Source organism: Homo sapiens, chromosome 2 (genome assembly GCF_000001405.40).
Source record: "Homo sapiens chromosome 2, GRCh38.p14 Primary Assembly".
Taxonomy (NCBI): Eukaryota; Metazoa; Chordata; class Mammalia; order Primates; family Hominidae; genus Homo; species Homo sapiens.
Genome location: NC_000002.12, coordinates 108,783,218 through 108,800,532, shown reverse-complemented (window position 1 = coordinate 108,800,532; position 17,315 = coordinate 108,783,218). Strand labels below are relative to the sequence as shown.

Below are 17,315 nucleotides of genomic sequence, written 5' to 3'. Positions count from 1 at the left end.
AGCACTTTGGGAGGGCGAGGCAGGTGGATTGCTTGAGGTCAGGAATTCAAGACCAGCCTGACCAACATGGTGAAACCCCGTCCCTACTAAAAATACAAAAATTAGCCGGGCATGGTGGTGGGCGCCTGTATTCCCAGCTACTCAGGAGATTAAGGCAGGAGAATCGCTTGAACCCAGGAAGTGGAGGTTGTAGTGAGCCGAGATCGTGCCACTGTACTCCAGCCTGGATGACAGAGCGAGACTATCTCAAAACAAAACAACAACAACAAAAAAAGTGAGGCCTAAATCTAATTGCTGAATGCTTTAAAATCAATAATATTCTCCAGAAGGTAACAATAGAACCCAAAATCTATGCATTAACCAGAAGGTCTTGAATATACCCTAAAAATCACTGAACATACAAAGAACCAAACAATGTGACTAAGCCTCAAGAAAAAAGATAATCAACAGATCCCTATCTTGAGATGATACAGGTGATACATAGTTTTTAAACTATGCTCCATGAGGTAAAAGTAAATATATATAGATGTAAATATAAAGACAGAAATGCTTATGAGAAAAACAAAAATAAATTTTTTAAACAACTTGAAATTTTAGAATTTTTAAATATCAAAAATAAAAATTTCACTAGATGGGCTCAATAGCAACATGGAGATTAAAAAAGAAATAATGAACTTTAAGATGGATCAAGAAACTATCTGAAGAACACTGAAGAAAATAATGGGAAAAAAAGGAATGGAGCCTCAGAAATCTTTGGGGAAATAGCACAAGGAGTCACTGGAGATCCAAGAGAAGACAAGAAAGAAAGTGGAAAAAATATTTGATGAAATATTGGCTGAAGATTCCCCAAATTTGGCCAAAGACAGAAATTTCCAAATTGAAGAAGCTCAGTTAACCACAAACAGAACAAACTGAAAGAAAAGCATGTCAAGAAACACTGTAAATAAACTGCTACTGAAAACCAAAGATAAAGAAAAATCATAAAATGATGCTATTAACATGACATTCTGGAAAAGGCAGATGTACTGGGACAGAAAATAGGTCAGTGGTTGCCAAGGGCTGAGGCTGGAGGAAAGGGATAGCTACAAGAGAGCGTAAGGGAACTGCTGGCGAGCTGAACTACTCTTGATCTTGTTGATGGTTGTGATTACAAAACTGAATGCATTTTTCAAAACTCATAGAAATGTACAACAATGAATTTTACTCCAAGTAAGTTATATGTACAGTAAAATATATCTTAATATGAAGCAAGGTATATTATACCACCTATACAATATCCTTGCCAAAAATATTTTGTCTACATATTATCGTTACGAAGCAATCAGGCAAATCCACAATGTGACATATAAGAATGCTGGCCTGAATTCTTCAAAGATGGTGAGGTTGAGTGCTCTAGATTCAAAGAAACCAAAAAGATATAACAACCAAATATAACGCATGAATCTTGTCTAGTTGCTTGATCAAACAAACAACCCCCCCGCCCCACAAACAATAAAAGACATACTGAAGACCAACTGAGAAAGTAAACATGGACTATAAATAAGTTATTTAGTTAGCATTAATTTCCTGATATGCGCTAATGGTCTGGAGAATGTCTTTATTCTTAGGAGATACATACTGAGGTATTTAGGGACAGAATCATGATTTTTACAAACTGCTTTCAAATGGATCAGAAAAAATGTGTGTGTGTGTGTGTGTGTGTGTGTGTGTGTGTGTAGGTGTGGAGAGGAGGAGGAAGGGAAGGAGAAATAAGCAAATGTGCCAAAATGTGCTTTCAAATGGATCAGAAAAAGTGTGTGTGTGTGTGTGTGTGTGTGTGTGTGTAGGCGTGGAGAGGAGGAGGAAGGGAAGGAGAAATAAGCAAATGTGACAAAATGTTAGTAACTAGTGAATCTAAGAAGAAAAGAAGAAATATACCACTCTAAAATCAAAGGCTATATAGTTACCTCTTTTATAATTTGAAATCTTGTAAGAACCTCTTCTTCAACACCTTTAATTTTACTCAAGGCATTTTCATGTCTGAAAAGCAGTTGTTCTCTTTCAAGTAAAAAACGTTCTCGCTTTTGAAGTTCTTCAGCAAATTTCTGTTGTGCTGCAGTTTCACACTGTATCAAAATGCCAGACTTTAATGCTCTTGAAAAGTCACAAATTCTGCAAATTATATTCCTATTGGCTGACACTGTGGTTTAACCAAGTGGTTTTCAGGAATACAGGGGTACCTAAGGACAATCTGGATTACAGTAGCTAGACTAGTATAGCAAGTAAACTTGCACAGAAATTATATCTTGATTTTAAATGATATGACACTATAGTAAGAGTCCACTGTGATGATGCAAGAGAATTTAGGGTCCAAAATGGATCAGCACTATGCAGATTTAGTTCCCGATCCAGCTTAAATTCCATGCTCTGCTTCCACATCATAGTCCACTATTTTACCTATACCCTCCACTCCCTCATCTTGTTGTCTATCACCTTGGGCTGAAAGAACGAGGTCTAGATTAGCACACTGATCACCTTCCCTGGTCCCATGCTACTCAGCTAAGTACCACTGGAGAAAAAAAAAAAAAAAATCACACACCGTGAAAAGTGGCCCCATTGCGAATTCATGGTCTCAATCCTGTACTAGATTCTCAATGCAGTCCAAAAATCTTTTTATATGTTCACAGCCAACTCTCTCTCCCTCATTCTCCAAAGTGTCTATTTTGAGCCTTCTCCATTCTACTAATTTGGAATACATCATGTCCTATATTCCACTCTTTGTGAATAGCCTGGTCTCTAACTTCACAGGGAAAAAACAGAAGACAGCATAAGAAAACATCAATCTCTTTCTCATAAAATACATATATACATGCTTCTCCTTCCCTCATTAAAAAGGCAGGCTCAGGATCATATTGCCTTAAGCCATCCTGTGAAGACTGCTCTGCTGATTATCCCTCTATTATTTTGAATCTCTCCCACCCCATCTGAACTAAAATCTCTCTTGGCCCCACCCACTCACCTCCTCCCCTTTACAACCATCTACATTTGCTGAGGTCTCTCATTTCAGAATCACTCCTCAACTCACTTAAGACTGGCTTCAGCCCATATTCCTCTATTGAAATGACTTACCTATTACTAAATCTAAAGGTCACTTTTCAGTCCTTATTTTATTGATTCTCTCAATAGCATTTTATACTGCCGTCTCTTTCCTCCAACTTAAAATGCTCTCCTTCATTGGTTTCCATGACACCATTCTCCTAGTTTTCCACCAACTCTCTCTGGCCATGGCTTCTCAGGCTCCTTTATAGGCTCTGCTTCCTCTACTGTCACTTAATTACTAATATTCCTTATGATTTGGGCTGGAGCAATTTTCCTTCTCATTCCTTATACCCTTTCTGCTTAATTATATCCACTCAATGGCTAAAATTACCAAGTATATGCTAATTGTTCCCAACCTACAACTGCTCAGATCTTTCTCACAGGCTCCAAAGTCAAGTCCAAACAGCCTACTTAACATCCTCACCAAGGTGATGGGGATATCTATTACCTCAAACATTTATTCTTTCTTTGTGTTGAGAACATTACAATTCTTCTCTAGCCACTTTAAAATATACAATAAATTATCATTAACTATAATTTCCCTATTGTACTAGTAAATACTGAAACTTACTCCTATCTAACTGTATTTTTGTACCCATTAACTAACCTCTCTTCACCCCTGCTACCCTTCCCCTCCCAGCCTCTGGTAACCACCATTCCATCTCTATTTCTATGAGACCCACTTCTTTAGTTCCCACCCCACACGAGTGAGAACATGCAATGTCTGTCCTTCTGTGCCTGGCTTATTTCTCTTAATATAATGACCTCCAATTCTATCTATGCTGCTGTCAATGATAAGATTTCATTCTTTTTATGGCTGAATAATATTCCATTGTGTATAGATACCACATTTTCTTTATCTGCCAATGGACACTGAGACTGACTCCATATTTCGGTTATTATGAACAGAGCTGCAATGAACAAGGGAGTGCAGGTATCTCTTCGATACGCCGTTTTCTTTTTTCGGGGATATACCCAGGAGTGGGATTGCTGGATCATACGGTAGTTCTACTTATAGTTTAAGGAACCTCCAAAGTGTTTTCCACAGTGGCTGTACTTACAAAGTAAATTTTAAAGTCAGATTAAACTATAGACTGATTTGGCCAGGCGCGGTGGCTCACGCCTGTAATCCCAGCACTTTGGGAGGCAGAGGCGGGCGGATCACGAGGTCAGGAGATCGAGACCATCCTGGCTAACACAGTGAAACCCCATCTCTACTAAAAATACAAAAAAAAAAAATTAGCCGGGCGCGGTGGCAGGTGCCTGTAGTCCCAGCTACTCGGGAGGCTGAGGCAGGAGAATGGCATGAACCCAGGAGGCGGAGCTTGCAGTGAGCCGAGATTGCGCCACTGCACTCCAGCCTGGGCACAGAGTGAGACTCCGTCTCAAAAAAATAAATAAATAAATAAAAATAAACTATAGACTGATTAAACCAGTTAATCCATTGCACTTCATTTTTTTCTTATTAAACATCTTTGTTTGCTACAAATGATAGATACATCCTTGCAATCTTGCCTATTCTTTTTTATCCTATAAAGTGTTATCAAAGGAATCTTCCTAAAACCTGACTTTTTACTCTGACATTCCTTTGCTTAAAAACTTGTAAAATACCCAGCCTGAGTTTTCATTATTTTCTTTCTTCCAGACAGGCTAATAAATGCACAATTGGACAATCACTGCTTTTCAGAACACCTCTCATTTCCAATTCCTTACACCTGGAATGCCCTTTCCACTATTATCTTTCTCAGTCAAAGACCAGATTAAGTCTCTCCCTAAACTTTTCCTGGTGATTTTAGGCTAAAATAATCTTTTTCTAAAATGCTATGGTAATTACAATCTGAATTACTTTGACAAAACGAAATACTGGTTTTAAAGAAATGCTTAACTATTTCATGTGTTTCCAACGGGAAGAATTTCAAACAGATACTGCGCATTACATACACTTCTGCTTCCTTCTCTACTTCTCGTGGATGCTTAATATATAAATTATACTCTTTAGGCTGGGCACTGTGGCTCACGCCTGTAATCCCAGCACTTTGGGAGGCCAAGTGGGGGCAGATCACCTGAGGTCAGAAGTTCAAGACCAGCCTAGCCAACATGGTGAAACCCCATCTCTACTAAAAATACAAAAAATTGGCTGGGCGGGATGGGGTGCACCTGTAATCCCAGCTACTCAGGAGGCTGAGGCAGGAGAATCACTGGAACCCAGGAGGCGGAGGCCGCAGTGAGCCAAGATCACACCACAGCACTCCAGCCTGGGTGATACAGCAAGATTCCATCGCAAAAAAAAAAAAAAAAAAAAAATACACTTTAGAAACAAAAAACCCGAAAGGCAGATAATAAGCAAATGTTAAGAGTTCAATTTTGATGAGAGTTGACAAGAAGACTTTTTATATATAAGTACTTAAAACAATAAAGCTAGAGCATCTACATCAAAAACCATACTTTATCAGATTTTATTACTTAAGTAAGGATGGGATGGAAATCAAATAAAATACAAGACAGTCTGAAACACACACCTACAAATAAAAACGCCACTGTCTCTATTTTCTCTCAGCCACTGTATTTTTCCCTTCATTAGTCCCTATAATTTGAGTTTGTCCCCTTCCGTCCTTCTCTTGACAAACTTATCTAAAGTAATTAAAATGAAATATATTATATTCAAATTTCGTAAATGCTTGGTTCTTAGAACATAAATATTTCTGAATTCTCGATTCAGTATTTAGTTCTTACCTGCAATTTCAGATGTATCTGAAATAATTCGTCATATATCTGACTGATCTGATGTGGAAGTAAACTCCGCTTGTCTGATGCTTTAGATTTTGGACAGCTGACAGGTTTCAAAGGAGAGTCACCTGCATCACTACAACACTCAGTCCGAGGTCTCGATGAGGTCGTATTAGTTGGCAAGGCAACTGCAAAGAAAATAACATTTGCATTATAAACTTTATTAACTTATTGTTTCAAATATTCTCAGAGTAACCTTTAGGAAGAGATGCTTTAAGTACAAAATATAACATTAAAAAGTTTCAAGAGAGACAAAGAAAAATATAGCAAATATGGTAAAGTGGTAACATCGAAAATTTGGGTGAAGGGTATACAGCAATTGATTGCACTATCTTTGCAACTTTTCTGTAAGTCTGAAATGATTTCAAAATAAAATATTTTAAAGGATATAAAAAGACACTAATTGCCAAGAAATGGAAAGCAACCTTAAAAGCCCCTAATCATGTTCCCCTCTCTCCCCTAAACCAAATTTACCACTAATGCAAGTAAGTGTTACATGCTGCTTTGCTTTGCTGTTTAATCTCCACTACTTAATCTTAAAAGTCCTTGCTTGTTTTGCCTTTTATATTTTATATGTAATTATATTAACATAATTTCTATAACCTCTTCTTTTAAACAGGTTCACAAATCTTCACTGTATATCCTATTTTGCAAACACTGTATACAGCATCCTCCTATAGGTGGAAATTTGAGCTGATTTGGCTATACAGATGCTACAGTCTCGTACGTGGCTTCTGGTGTACAAGTTTAAGAGTTTCCTGAGGGTGGCAGGGCGCGGTGGCTCACGCCTATAATCCCAGCACTTTGGGAGGCCGAGGCGGGCGGATCATGAGGTCAGGAGATTGAGACCATCCTGGCTAACACGGTGAAATCCCGTCTCTACTAAAAATACAAAAAAAAAAAATTAGCCGGGCGTGATGGCGGGTGCCTGTAGTCCCAGCTACTCGGGAGGCTGAGGCAGGAGAGTGGCGTGAATCCGGGAGGCGGAGCTTACAGTGAGCCCAGATCGCGCTACTGCACTCCAGCCTGGGCGACAGAGCGAGACTCCATCTCAAAAAAAAAACAAAACAAAACAAAAAAAAGTTTCCTGAGGGTATATAAGTAGTAGCAAAATTGCTAGATCATAGGGTATATGTGCAGATTCAACTTTACTAGTGATGCCAAATTGTTTTCCAAAGTGGCTGTATCAATTTACTCTCCCAACAGCAGTAGGTGAGTTCCTCTTGCTTGATATCCTTGCCAGCACTATACTGTCAGAATTTATTTTCTTTTAACAATTAGAGTATAAAATGCTCTCGGTCAGTGTTTTTTTGTTGTTGTTTTGTTTTGTTTTTTGAGACGGAGTCTCACTCTGTCGCCCAGGCTGGAGTGCAGTGGCGCGACCTCGGCTCACTGTAAGCTCCGCCTCCCGAGCAGCTGGGACTACAGGGGCCAGCCACCAAGCCCGGCTAATTTTTTTGTTATTTTTTTTTTTAGTAGAGACAGGGTTTCACCGTGTTAGCCAGGATGGTCTGGATCTCCTGACCTCGTGATCCGCCCACCTCTGCCTCCCAAAGTGCTGGGATTACAGGCACGAGCCACCGTGCCCGGCCTTGCTTTTTTTTTTGAGACAGAGTCTCTCTGTCGCCCAGACTGGAGTGCAGTGGCACAGTCTCAGCTCACTGCAACCTCCGCTTCCCGGGTTCAAGTGATTCTCCTGCCTCAGCCTCCCGAGTAACTGGGACTACAGGCACGTGCTACCATGCCTGGCTAATTTTTTGTATTTTTAGTAGAGACAGGGTTTCACCGTGTTAGCCAGGATGGTCTCGATCTCCTGACCTCGTGATCCACCCGCCTCGGCCTCCCAAAGTGCTGGGATTACAGGCGTGAGCCACCGCGCCTGGCCGACGCTCAGTGGTTTTAACTTGCACTAGACTCATGGAAGCCCCAGCTTTAAAAAAGGAGGGGGGTGTGTCTTCCATTATACTCCATTTTGAACAGACAACGGAGAAGTAAAAATAAAACATAGTATGAATTTTTTAAAATGAAAAGCTTCACTTCACTCAGTTCAGCAAATGCCCTAAAAGTGAAAGGCACATTCACAGAGCTCTACTTGCCTGTCTAGGTTCCCGACTCACCAATCCCTGGCCCGAGCATTTCTTAATTTTGTCTACTTTCAAATATGAGGTTGGTGCAAAAGTCATTGTGGCTTTTGCCATTACTTTTAATGGAATACAAGCAACATTTTCTTTATACCTTATCCCATGTTTTCCACTGGGAAAATCGACCATATAGCAGGAAACTCAAGTCCCGACAGAATTATTTTTCATCTTCCTCAAATGATGAGAATAATGGGACAAAGGAAAACAAAGGAGAGGGAAAAGAGGAAAATGAATGTTGTTGTGTGTAGACCATAATACCAGCACCAGTATTATCAACAGGGCAACTCAAAGTCTTGTAGCCCAGAGGGTGAAGGGTGCCATTTCTGGTTGTCTCATTCCTTGAAATCCCGCCACAACTATGAAATGCAGCCAGATACACAGAAAACTGCTGGCAGTTCAGTGCCCAGAAATCCATACTTCAAATAATCTGGAGTATTTTCTCAAAATATTGTAGTCAAATACTACCACAATCATCTACTCAGTTATTAACTTATTTTGATAAATTTTGAGGGTACAGGAATATTACTGAAAAATAATGAAGTTTAATTTTCTCTGCTCCTTTAGTTTAATAATAAGCACAGTAACTATCTCCTAGCTTACAGAAGTTCAGAACACAGAAATATGCAAACTCTTGGGGGCCAGTGTTATTACTAGGAGGGAAGCTTCATTTACTCTACTTGACAAAGTTACTACTGAATTGATTGTTCTAAAATATTTATTTTACCTTTTTCTATTTCTTTAAAAGACTGCTTGGTTATTTTCGAGGTACTAACTCTATAATCATTTTCAATTAACTCTTCTTCTGTTTCCTGTTTCTTCAAATCATGGAAAGAATCCAGTTCATCATCTAGGCTTTAAAAAAATAATTGTATCACAGCAATCTAGAAGTTTACTATAGCACTTTAAAAAGATAAAACTGCTTTTCAAATATTAACAGCATAACTGAGAAAAAATGTAAAAACATTTTTTAAACTGCAAAATGTAAACATGTAAAAAGAAAAAACGTAAAAACTAACAGTCACTGATCATTGATAACCCACTACAAGCATCTTTTTCTACACATTAAATAGACTTAATTTAAAATGACATATACCTACCTGTGGTATATTCTACAGCTAAGGAACACTTTATTTTGACTCCCAATAATCTGTTATCTATAAGGTAGTTTTAGCTAAAATAATATACATAAGTAAACTAAACCTAAGTAAGTCAAATAACTGATGGGTGACATAACGAGTAGAAAGTGGAGCAGAACTAGAATTCCAGGTGTTGTCTCCAAAAAGACAATCTGAGTTGAAATTTTTGGAATAGTATTGTTCAAAAGCAATATAACACAAGTCATATAGGTAATTTAAAATTTTCTAGTAGCACGTTAAAAAAATAAATTTTAAAAATATTAGTTAATATAATATATCTAAAAGTTTATCATTTCAACATGTAATCAATGTTAAAAATTATTAGGATAGAACAGGCATGGTGGCTCACGCCTGTGATCTCAGCACTTTGGGAGGCCGAAGTGGGAGTATCTCTTGAGCCCAGGAGTTCAAGATCAGCCTGGACAACACAGTGAGACTCTGTCTCTACAAAAAGAAAAATAAATAAAATAAATTAGCTGGGAGTAGTGGTGCACGTCTGTAGTCCCAGCTACTCAGGAGCCTGAGGTGAGAGGATCGTTTGAGCCCAGGAGTTGGAGGCTACAGTGAGTTACAATTATGCTACTGCACTCACAGCCTGGGCAACAGGCTCGCCCCCTGCAAACCCACATACACCCACACAAAATTAAGATATTTTACATTATTTTATCCATGCCTATTTATTTATTTTTTGAGACGGAGTCTCACTCTGTCACCCAGGTTGCAGTGCAGTGGCGCGATCTCGGCTCACTGCAACCTCTGCCTCCGGGTCCAAGCAATTCTCCTGTCTCAGCCTCCCGAGTAGCTGGGACTACAGGCACCCGCCACCATGCCCGGCTAATTTTTGTTATCTATGCTAAGTCTTAGAAAGCCAGTGTGTATATGACACTTACAGCATATCTCAATTCAGACCAGCCCCATTTCAAGTACTCAATAGGTACATGTGGCCTGTTGCTACTGTGCTGGACAGCATAGTTTCAGACCAGATCACAACTAGGGGTCCAATGTTATGAAAACCTTCATAGTCCAAAACCTTTAGATTATAGTTTAGAGTTATACCCAGGTCATTATATAAAAAATGATAAAACTCAGTTAAAAAGAAAATAATTTCCATAAATTTATAATTATTACCTTAAAAGCAATTTTCACTTTCCTTACCCTACATTCAACGTAGCTCATGTCTAAATCCTAAATCTAGATCAACTAGATTTTGTGAGTGCAACATGAAATAGTAATAATAATGATAATAGGTAACATTTGAGTACTTATTATTTACCCAGAACTGTTCAAAGTGTGTTACACAGATTAACTTATTTAAGTAGAGAAAGAGAAAACTGTATTAAAAAAAGTCAAGCTCCCAAATACTAATTATGTAACATACAGATACTTTAGGCATAATTATTTTTTCTCTCCACAATTATTTCAACATTTCATGTTATATATGGATACATCTTTATTTCAAAATGCTTACTCCTTCTTGATACCCATAGCATTTCTTTCTGCCACATATTTTTAGCATTAAATAATATCCAACTTAGATCTTTATTTTACCTTAGCTTCCACTGTTTTTATATTTTTTCCCCATAGTAAATAGTATCTTCCTTACAGAACGGCAACTTCTTTTAACCCAGCACTGTATCCTACATACCCTGTAGTTACCATCTCCCCAGACCACCTTCTTCAATCTCTCTCAATCACCTAAATACAATGCATACAATACCAGACACACCAGAGATAGTAAAATGCTGCTGCCTAACAAAACCTGTATGGCAGTTTTTTTTGTAGTTCGTTTTTTCTTTCTTCAGGACAGTTTTGCTCATCACCCAGGCTGGAGTGCAATGGCACAATCTTAGCTCACTGCAACCTCCACCTCCCGGGTTCAAGTGATTCTCCTGCCTCTGCCTCTCAAGTCGCTGAGATTCCAGACGCACACCACCAAGCCTGGCTAATTTTTCTATTTTTTAGTAGAAACGGGATTTCACCATGTTGGCCAGGATGGTCTCAAACTCCTGACCTCAGGTGATCCACCCGCCTCGGCCTCCCAAAGTGCTGGGATTACAGGCGTGAGCCACCGCACCTGGCCCATAGTTCCTTTTCTAAAAAAAAATTTTTAAAGAAAGGGAGCAGAGTCTTCATTTGGGTCCTGAATGAATAACCATAAAAATATATTTTTTCATCTTTTACATTATATAAATAACTTTCCATTATGCCACTAAATATAATGCTAGGTCTATGCTTTTATTACAGAGATTCTCAGTAAAAATTAATAAGTGACTCGCTTCAACTATTTAGCAGGCTCCAGACTGCCTTATACTTGTCCTCATACTTGTCCTCAGGAAAGAGCAAAAATATAACCTGCCCTTTTCTCTTTCTCAGTTTTTTGAGATACTGAGGGGGTAGCAACAGTAAAGTTTCAGGGTACTTTACCAATTCACATTTACGTGCTTGAATAAGCTGCCCAATGGTGTTCTACAATGCTTGCTTTCATCAGAATATTTTAACGATGAACCAACTTTATCTCCAGAGTAGATATCCAAATCACCTGTCAACGACAAAGAAACCATGAAAGATTACCACAACAATATATCACAAAATATCTGGCACTGGCCATAAGTCTAAATAATACTATTTTTAAAATCTTCTCTCTCAAATTTTTTTTTCTTTTTTTTTCTTTGAGACGGAGTCTCGCTCTGTCACCCAGGCTGGAGTGCAGTGGCGCAATCTCGGCTCACTGCAAGCTCCGTCTCCCGGGTTCACCCCATTCTCCTGCCTCAGCCTCCTGAGTAGCCGGGACTACAGGAGCCCGCCACCACACCCGGCTAATTTTTTGTATTTTTTTTAGTAGAGACGGGGTTTCACCGTGTTAGCTAGGATGGTCTCCATCTCCTGACCTCGTGATCCGCCCGCCTCGCCTCCCAAAGTGCTGGGATTACAGGCGTGAGCCACCGCGCGCAGCCTATTTTTTTCTTTTTTGAGACTGAGTTTCGCTCTTGTTGCCCAGGCTGGAGTGTAGTGGCGCCATCTCGGCTCACTGCAACCTCTGCCTCCCGGGTTCAACCGATTCTCCTGCCTCAGCCTTCCCAGCAGTTGGGATTACAGGCGCCCGCCACCATGCTCGGCTAATTTTTTGTATCTTTAGTAGAGACGGGATTTCACTATGTTGGCCTGAGTGGTCTCGAACTCCTGACCTCAGGTGATTCGCCTGCCTCGGCCTCCCAAAGTGCTGGGATTACAGGCGTGAGCCACCGCGCCCAGCCTCAAATTAAATTTTTGAAACCCCCAAATATACAAAATACCGGCTTACCTGGGGAGGTTAGAGTTCTTCTCTTATACTTAGACTGATAAAAATTTGAAAAATCATACTAAAAAAAAAAAGAAAAGATTTAATTTGTATACTAAAAATCAATTTACTGTCTCAAAATATTTCCCCACAAATTATGTATTAATTACAAAGGTTAGAGTGGAGAAATCTTGTAGACACCATCTTAACCAAGTGATCAAAACTAATATCATCAATAATGTGACAAACCAACGTCATGTTCCTCCCCACAGCAGGCCACACATCACTCATCTCATGCTCCTGCCAAAAATGCATAATCAATCTAACGAAGAAGCATCTATAAGATAAACCCAAACGGAGAAACAATCCAATAAATAATTCTTACACTTCTCAAAAAAAAAACAACCTTACAGAAAACAAAGGCTGTGAACCTGTTCCAGATTAAAGGCAACAAAAAGGACAATCAAATACAATCAATGCTCGTTCTTGGGTCGGATCTGCACTAGGAAAAAATTTTCCTATAAAAGGTTTTATCGAGATAATTGCTGAAATTTCTTATGAACTCTAGATTACCAAATATTATACCAATTCTAAATTTCCTGAAAATATTACTGTGGTTATTAAAAGACAACGTCCTTATGCTTAGGAAAAATGCACAAGTTATTTCTATTCAGAGGTAAAGGGGCATGATGCCTGCAAATCACCCTCAAATAGTTCAAAGGGAAAAAATGCGTTTGTAGGGAGGGAAGGGGAGAGAACGAATGGTAAAGCCAATGTGGCAAAATATTAATTTGTGAATGCAAGTGAGGGTACAAGGGAATTCTTGGTAATACTGCAGCAACTTTTGAGTAAGTCCGAAATTATTTCGAAATAAGCCGCTTTTAAAAAGCAATTCAATTGTTTTCACAACTCCACTCACATCACTGCAAAAAAAAGCTGAATAGCACTTTCTCCAACACCACACCATGCCCAGTATACCAGGAACACAGAGGCATAGGTGAAGCGGCACCCCCGCACCCCCGCAGCGCAACGCCCGCCCCTCCCGCCTGCTTCCACGAGGCCCAAGCCGCAGCCACGGCGGGAGTGCCGGGGCCGGGACCAGAGCCGCTGCGCGCCCCCAGGCCGGCTGCGCGGGGCACGGAGCGGGCCGCCCCCCAGCAGCAGGAGCCCACCCGCGGACCTCAGGCGGCGGCTTCACCTCGTCGGGGCAGCTGCCCCCGAGTCCGTAGCGGCTTTTGAGACTCTCCACTACTAAATCCTGCCCCGGTGGCTTGACGACCCTCGGCTCCATAGCACACAGCAACCGTACCAGTCTCCCCGGGAACCGCGTTCATCAAACCCGCGGCGCTACGCGGCCGCAGTGCGTCACGACGTGCCAGACCCCGCCCCCCCGAGGCACGCACGGCGGCAGGGAAAGGGCGGGGCGGGGCGACCCGGAGACTGCAGCCCGGCTTGTCAGCGCGTCCTCCAAGTTTCTCGTGCTAGCACTACACACCTCGTAACTGAGTAGTATTGCATCTCCCCGCGATAGTCCTGCCCCGGCTGCCTGGGTGCCACGGGTTGAGGGGCACCGAGGCCCCGCACCTGCCTGCAGCGCTCCGCTCCAGCTCCATTTAACCTGTTAAGTTTGGTGTGCGTTGCGCTCACCACATAGACCGGTCGTTCCATCAGAAGTGACCTTTGCTAACTGCCATATAAAAGAAAAACCAAGAGTATATCTGAGCCGGGAGTGGTGGCGCGCGTGTAGTCCCGGCTGCTAAGGAGGCTGAGGCGGGAGCATTGCTTTGAGCCTGAGAGTTACATCTATCTTGGGTAACATAGCAAGACTCCCATCTCTTAAAGTTAAAAAAAAAAAAAAAAAGGGAAAGCTGAGCATAGACATTGCAGATTACCTCACTTTCCCTGTGTTCCATATGGGGTATAACAGGGTATTAAAAAGAATAGTTAGAATGTAAGCACCCTGGAAAAAAAACTTTTTTTTTTTGAAAAGAAAAAAGCTTTTGCCAATACCTACAACAGTGCTAACCATAGTACATAGTATACATCAACCTGAAAACCTATGTTAAACAAAACTGACTGAGGGGAACTGTACAACCACTTCATTTTTCTCATTCATAAAATTACAGTGGTGTAATCTTTTACTTTCTAAATTGTGACTGTCAGCTGCATCTCTGGACTAACAACTCCTAAATTCTCTGGATTAAAGTTCCCAAATGCCCAAGTTTTATAAAATCTGTACTTCAGCAGTTATTATCTGAAAATTACTTAGGCCATACTTTTTGCCATAAAGTACCACTTAAGATGTACAAATAATGAATTTTATTCTATCTTTAAGCAGATTTTAATGAGACAACATAAAATCCAGTTTAAAAGGAAAGATACATATTATCGTGGGTTTAGACCACATCAGTGATTAAATAACAAAGAGAAATCAAAGTCCTTTCCTGAAATGTGACACAAAGACTTTCTCATAAATGCCACAAGCCACTTTTAAGCATCTTTGGAATACTAATACGGGAAAAGTCAGTTTACATGTCATTTTGTCAAATTTTTGGTCAAAGTTTTTAAAGCTTTTTAATTTGTAACTTTAGTGCTTTAGGAAAGCATACAAATCTGTAAAAAGTCTCTTAAAAAGCACTTGCATTAACTTAAGAATTTATTCTAAAATCATGACGAAGGCATCAACTGTCTCAGCTGAAAAGTTACAACACACTTTACATCAGTTTATATTACATAGATTTCCAAATAAGCCAATTTGAAATATTTAGTGTAAACATATGTAATCCATGGTTCAAGACTGAACTGATACATTTGGAGTAGGTTTATTTCAAGTATCTGGCTTTGTGGCCGAGTGGAATGGTGATGGTATACCATCACTCATTACTCGCACAACATCCCTCCCCTCTTTTGACTGGTGGTTGAACAGTTACTTGCTTTAGGATACCCAATTTCCAAATCCCCATGTAACAGGGAATAAACCTGTCTTTCCTCACTAAATAAAATGAGGTAATTTCACCCGAAAGAACACAGATGGGTGGAAGACAGTCAATATTCATAATTGCAATATACAAAATTTTGTGTTCTACCTGGATTCTTTGTAGTTCCATATTGAGTAGGCCAATAAGAACATCCTCTTTTCTTTAGCAATTTGCCTAACATTTGATACAAGCCATTTCCAAATACGTTTTTGGTGTGTATCAAACTTGAGAAACTAGGAGCTCTGGAAATTATGCAGCAGTTTGAATTTACTGCCTTTAAATTGTCTTCCTTACTTTAGAATGAACCCGAAGCGTAAGTAATGAATTTTTTGGATGTCAGTGGCTCTTAGGAATTGTCATTTTATTTCTGCTACAAAATTTACCAGAAAAAGGTACTGCAACAATCTTGTATAAAGCAAATCTTTAACGAAAGAACATGGTATAGACTTTCTAAAAATATTCATACTTTATCACAATAACTACAAGGAAAAATTCAATTTCTATCATCAGAACCAAGCTGCAGTTTCTGAGGTAGTAGAGACAGATGACAGAAAAGTTTGAAACAAAACCCCTAAAGGAAATAGTCAACTTGTTTAAAATGTAAAAATTAATCGAATATCTATGAAAGGGCACAGGAAGCTAGATATTTTAAGGAAGGAAGGTACGCTACTTACAAAGTTAACTTGTAACCACACAGGAGGTGTAAAGATTCTAGAGAAGAGCACTTTGGTTAACTCTATACGTTCTGTGGCTCTACCCATTCATAAACGAGTCTCTATGCATAAATGAGTACACCAATAGTTAAGATTACCAAATATATTTCAAACCTAAAATTAAATTATCCAAGTTGTGGTCCCTTTATTCAAATGGTAAGTATATCCATGCAGGAAGTCCAAATATCTTAAAAGGAATTAAAATTAAATTGCATATATCATATTCCTTCAATAGTTTGAGGTCTATTGCTTTTAACAAGATTAGTATTATTCCATTTTAATACGTCAGGAGTACATAAACACAAGTACACCTGAAATACACCAGTGTTTAAACTTTTATTTCACACCATGCAAGGTCAATTATAACACATTAAAAAGTGACAACAGCTATAAGCTGCAATTTTACATTTGTAAATCGGAAACGTCCATTTTCAAAAGCTGAACATAACTATCAAATTGTAATAGCTAAGCTTCAATCCAACTGCTTATACAGATGAAATTTTCTATGAACAACAATGATTTTATATCTGTCCACATTCTGTGATAGTTATTCTTCGACAAACAGACCCTTTGGGAGAACCAAATGATTCAATCTTTTTCACAGTATCCATGCCATCCTTAACAAACCCAAATACTACATGCTTAAAGTCCAAATGTTCTGCTTTCTTCAGTGTTATAACAAATTGAGAATTATTGGTATTCTGGCCTTGATTGGCCATGGATAGTAAACCAGGACCAGTATGTTTCACATCAAAATTTTCATCTTCAAATTTGTCTCCATAAATGGACTGTCCGCCTGTTCCATCATGTTTGGTGATATCTCCTCCCTGAAAAAAAGATTTATAATAAAAAAGTTAAAAATTTTTTTCAATTAATAGGAATCCTGAGTAAAATATTAAAATACACACAGAACTCATCACTACATGTTAAATCCTAAAGCCCAGCTTTCCTGAGTATAGTTTGAAAACTAAGAAATTCATATTGTTGGAAAGAAGATGAAAAATGAAAAGGTTTTTCCCATCCCTTAGTTTCTACTAGATCTCAAGTACTGAAAATTTGATTTTTTTTTTTTTTTTTTTTTTTTTTTTTAATGACAGGCTGTCTCACTCTGTCGCCCAGGATGGAGTGCAGTGGTGCAAACCTAGCTCACTGCAGCCTTGGCCTCCTGGATGCTCCCACCTCAGCTTCCTTGTAGCTGGGATCAC

General features: G+C 39.4%; 2 protein-coding genes across 57 annotated transcripts in view, besides 2 other annotated features; both read right to left on the bottom strand.

The window, feature by feature from the left end:
• Nucleotides 1-13,783, bottom strand: part of CCDC138 (coiled-coil domain containing 138) — a 98,736-nt gene extending 84,953 nt beyond the window's left edge. For 15 of the 47 annotated variants that reach the window (NR_147237.2, XR_007069664.1, XM_011510761.3 and 12 more), the window contains exons 1-6: nucleotides 13,600-13,762; nucleotides 12,444-12,501; nucleotides 11,567-11,681; nucleotides 8,731-8,858; nucleotides 5,812-5,993; nucleotides 1,947-2,105 (exon numbers count right to left, since the gene is read on the bottom strand). Coding sequence is in view for 38 of the 47 variants with exons in the window: in XM_011510761.3 (XP_011509063.1) it covers nucleotides 1,947-2,105; nucleotides 5,812-5,993; nucleotides 8,731-8,858; nucleotides 11,567-11,681; nucleotides 12,444-12,501; nucleotides 13,600-13,710 (753 nt within the window). In the remaining 9 variants the exon portion in view is untranslated. 47 annotated transcript variants of the gene reach the window in all.
• The window catches only part of RANBP2 (RAN binding protein 2), a 1,122,820-nt gene that overhangs the window by 1,041,769 nt on the left and 63,736 nt on the right, over nucleotides 1-17,315 (bottom strand). For 9 of the 10 annotated variants that reach the window (XM_005264002.4, NM_001415871.1, NM_001415873.1 and 6 more), the window contains one exon: nucleotides 14,724-16,937. The exons of the other annotated variant lie outside the window; for it this stretch is intronic. In XM_005264002.4, coding sequence (XP_005264059.1) covers nucleotides 16,632-16,937 — 306 coding nt within the window. In that variant the 3' untranslated portion in view covers nucleotides 14,724-16,631. Of the gene's footprint in view, nucleotides 1-14,723; nucleotides 16,938-17,315 lie in introns of those variants that run through there. 10 annotated transcript variants of the gene reach the window in all.
• Nucleotides 9,673-9,847: a silencer, noted in NCBI's record as "fragment chr2:109407142-109407316 (GRCh37/hg19 assembly coordinates)". NCBI's record gives its function as "represses an EF-1alpha promoter that drives an FKBP-Casp9 reporter gene in an ReSE screen in K562 erythroleukemia cells {active_cell/tissue: K562}" and the evidence as "EXISTENCE:reporter gene assay evidence [ECO:0000049][PMID:32094911]".
• Nucleotides 13,364-13,953: a silencer, noted in NCBI's record as "silent region_11852". NCBI's record gives its function as "represses an Ori minimal core promoter by ATAC-STARR-seq in GM12878 lymphoblastoid cells {active_cell/tissue: GM12878}" and the evidence as "EXISTENCE:reporter gene assay evidence [ECO:0000049][PMID:35858748]".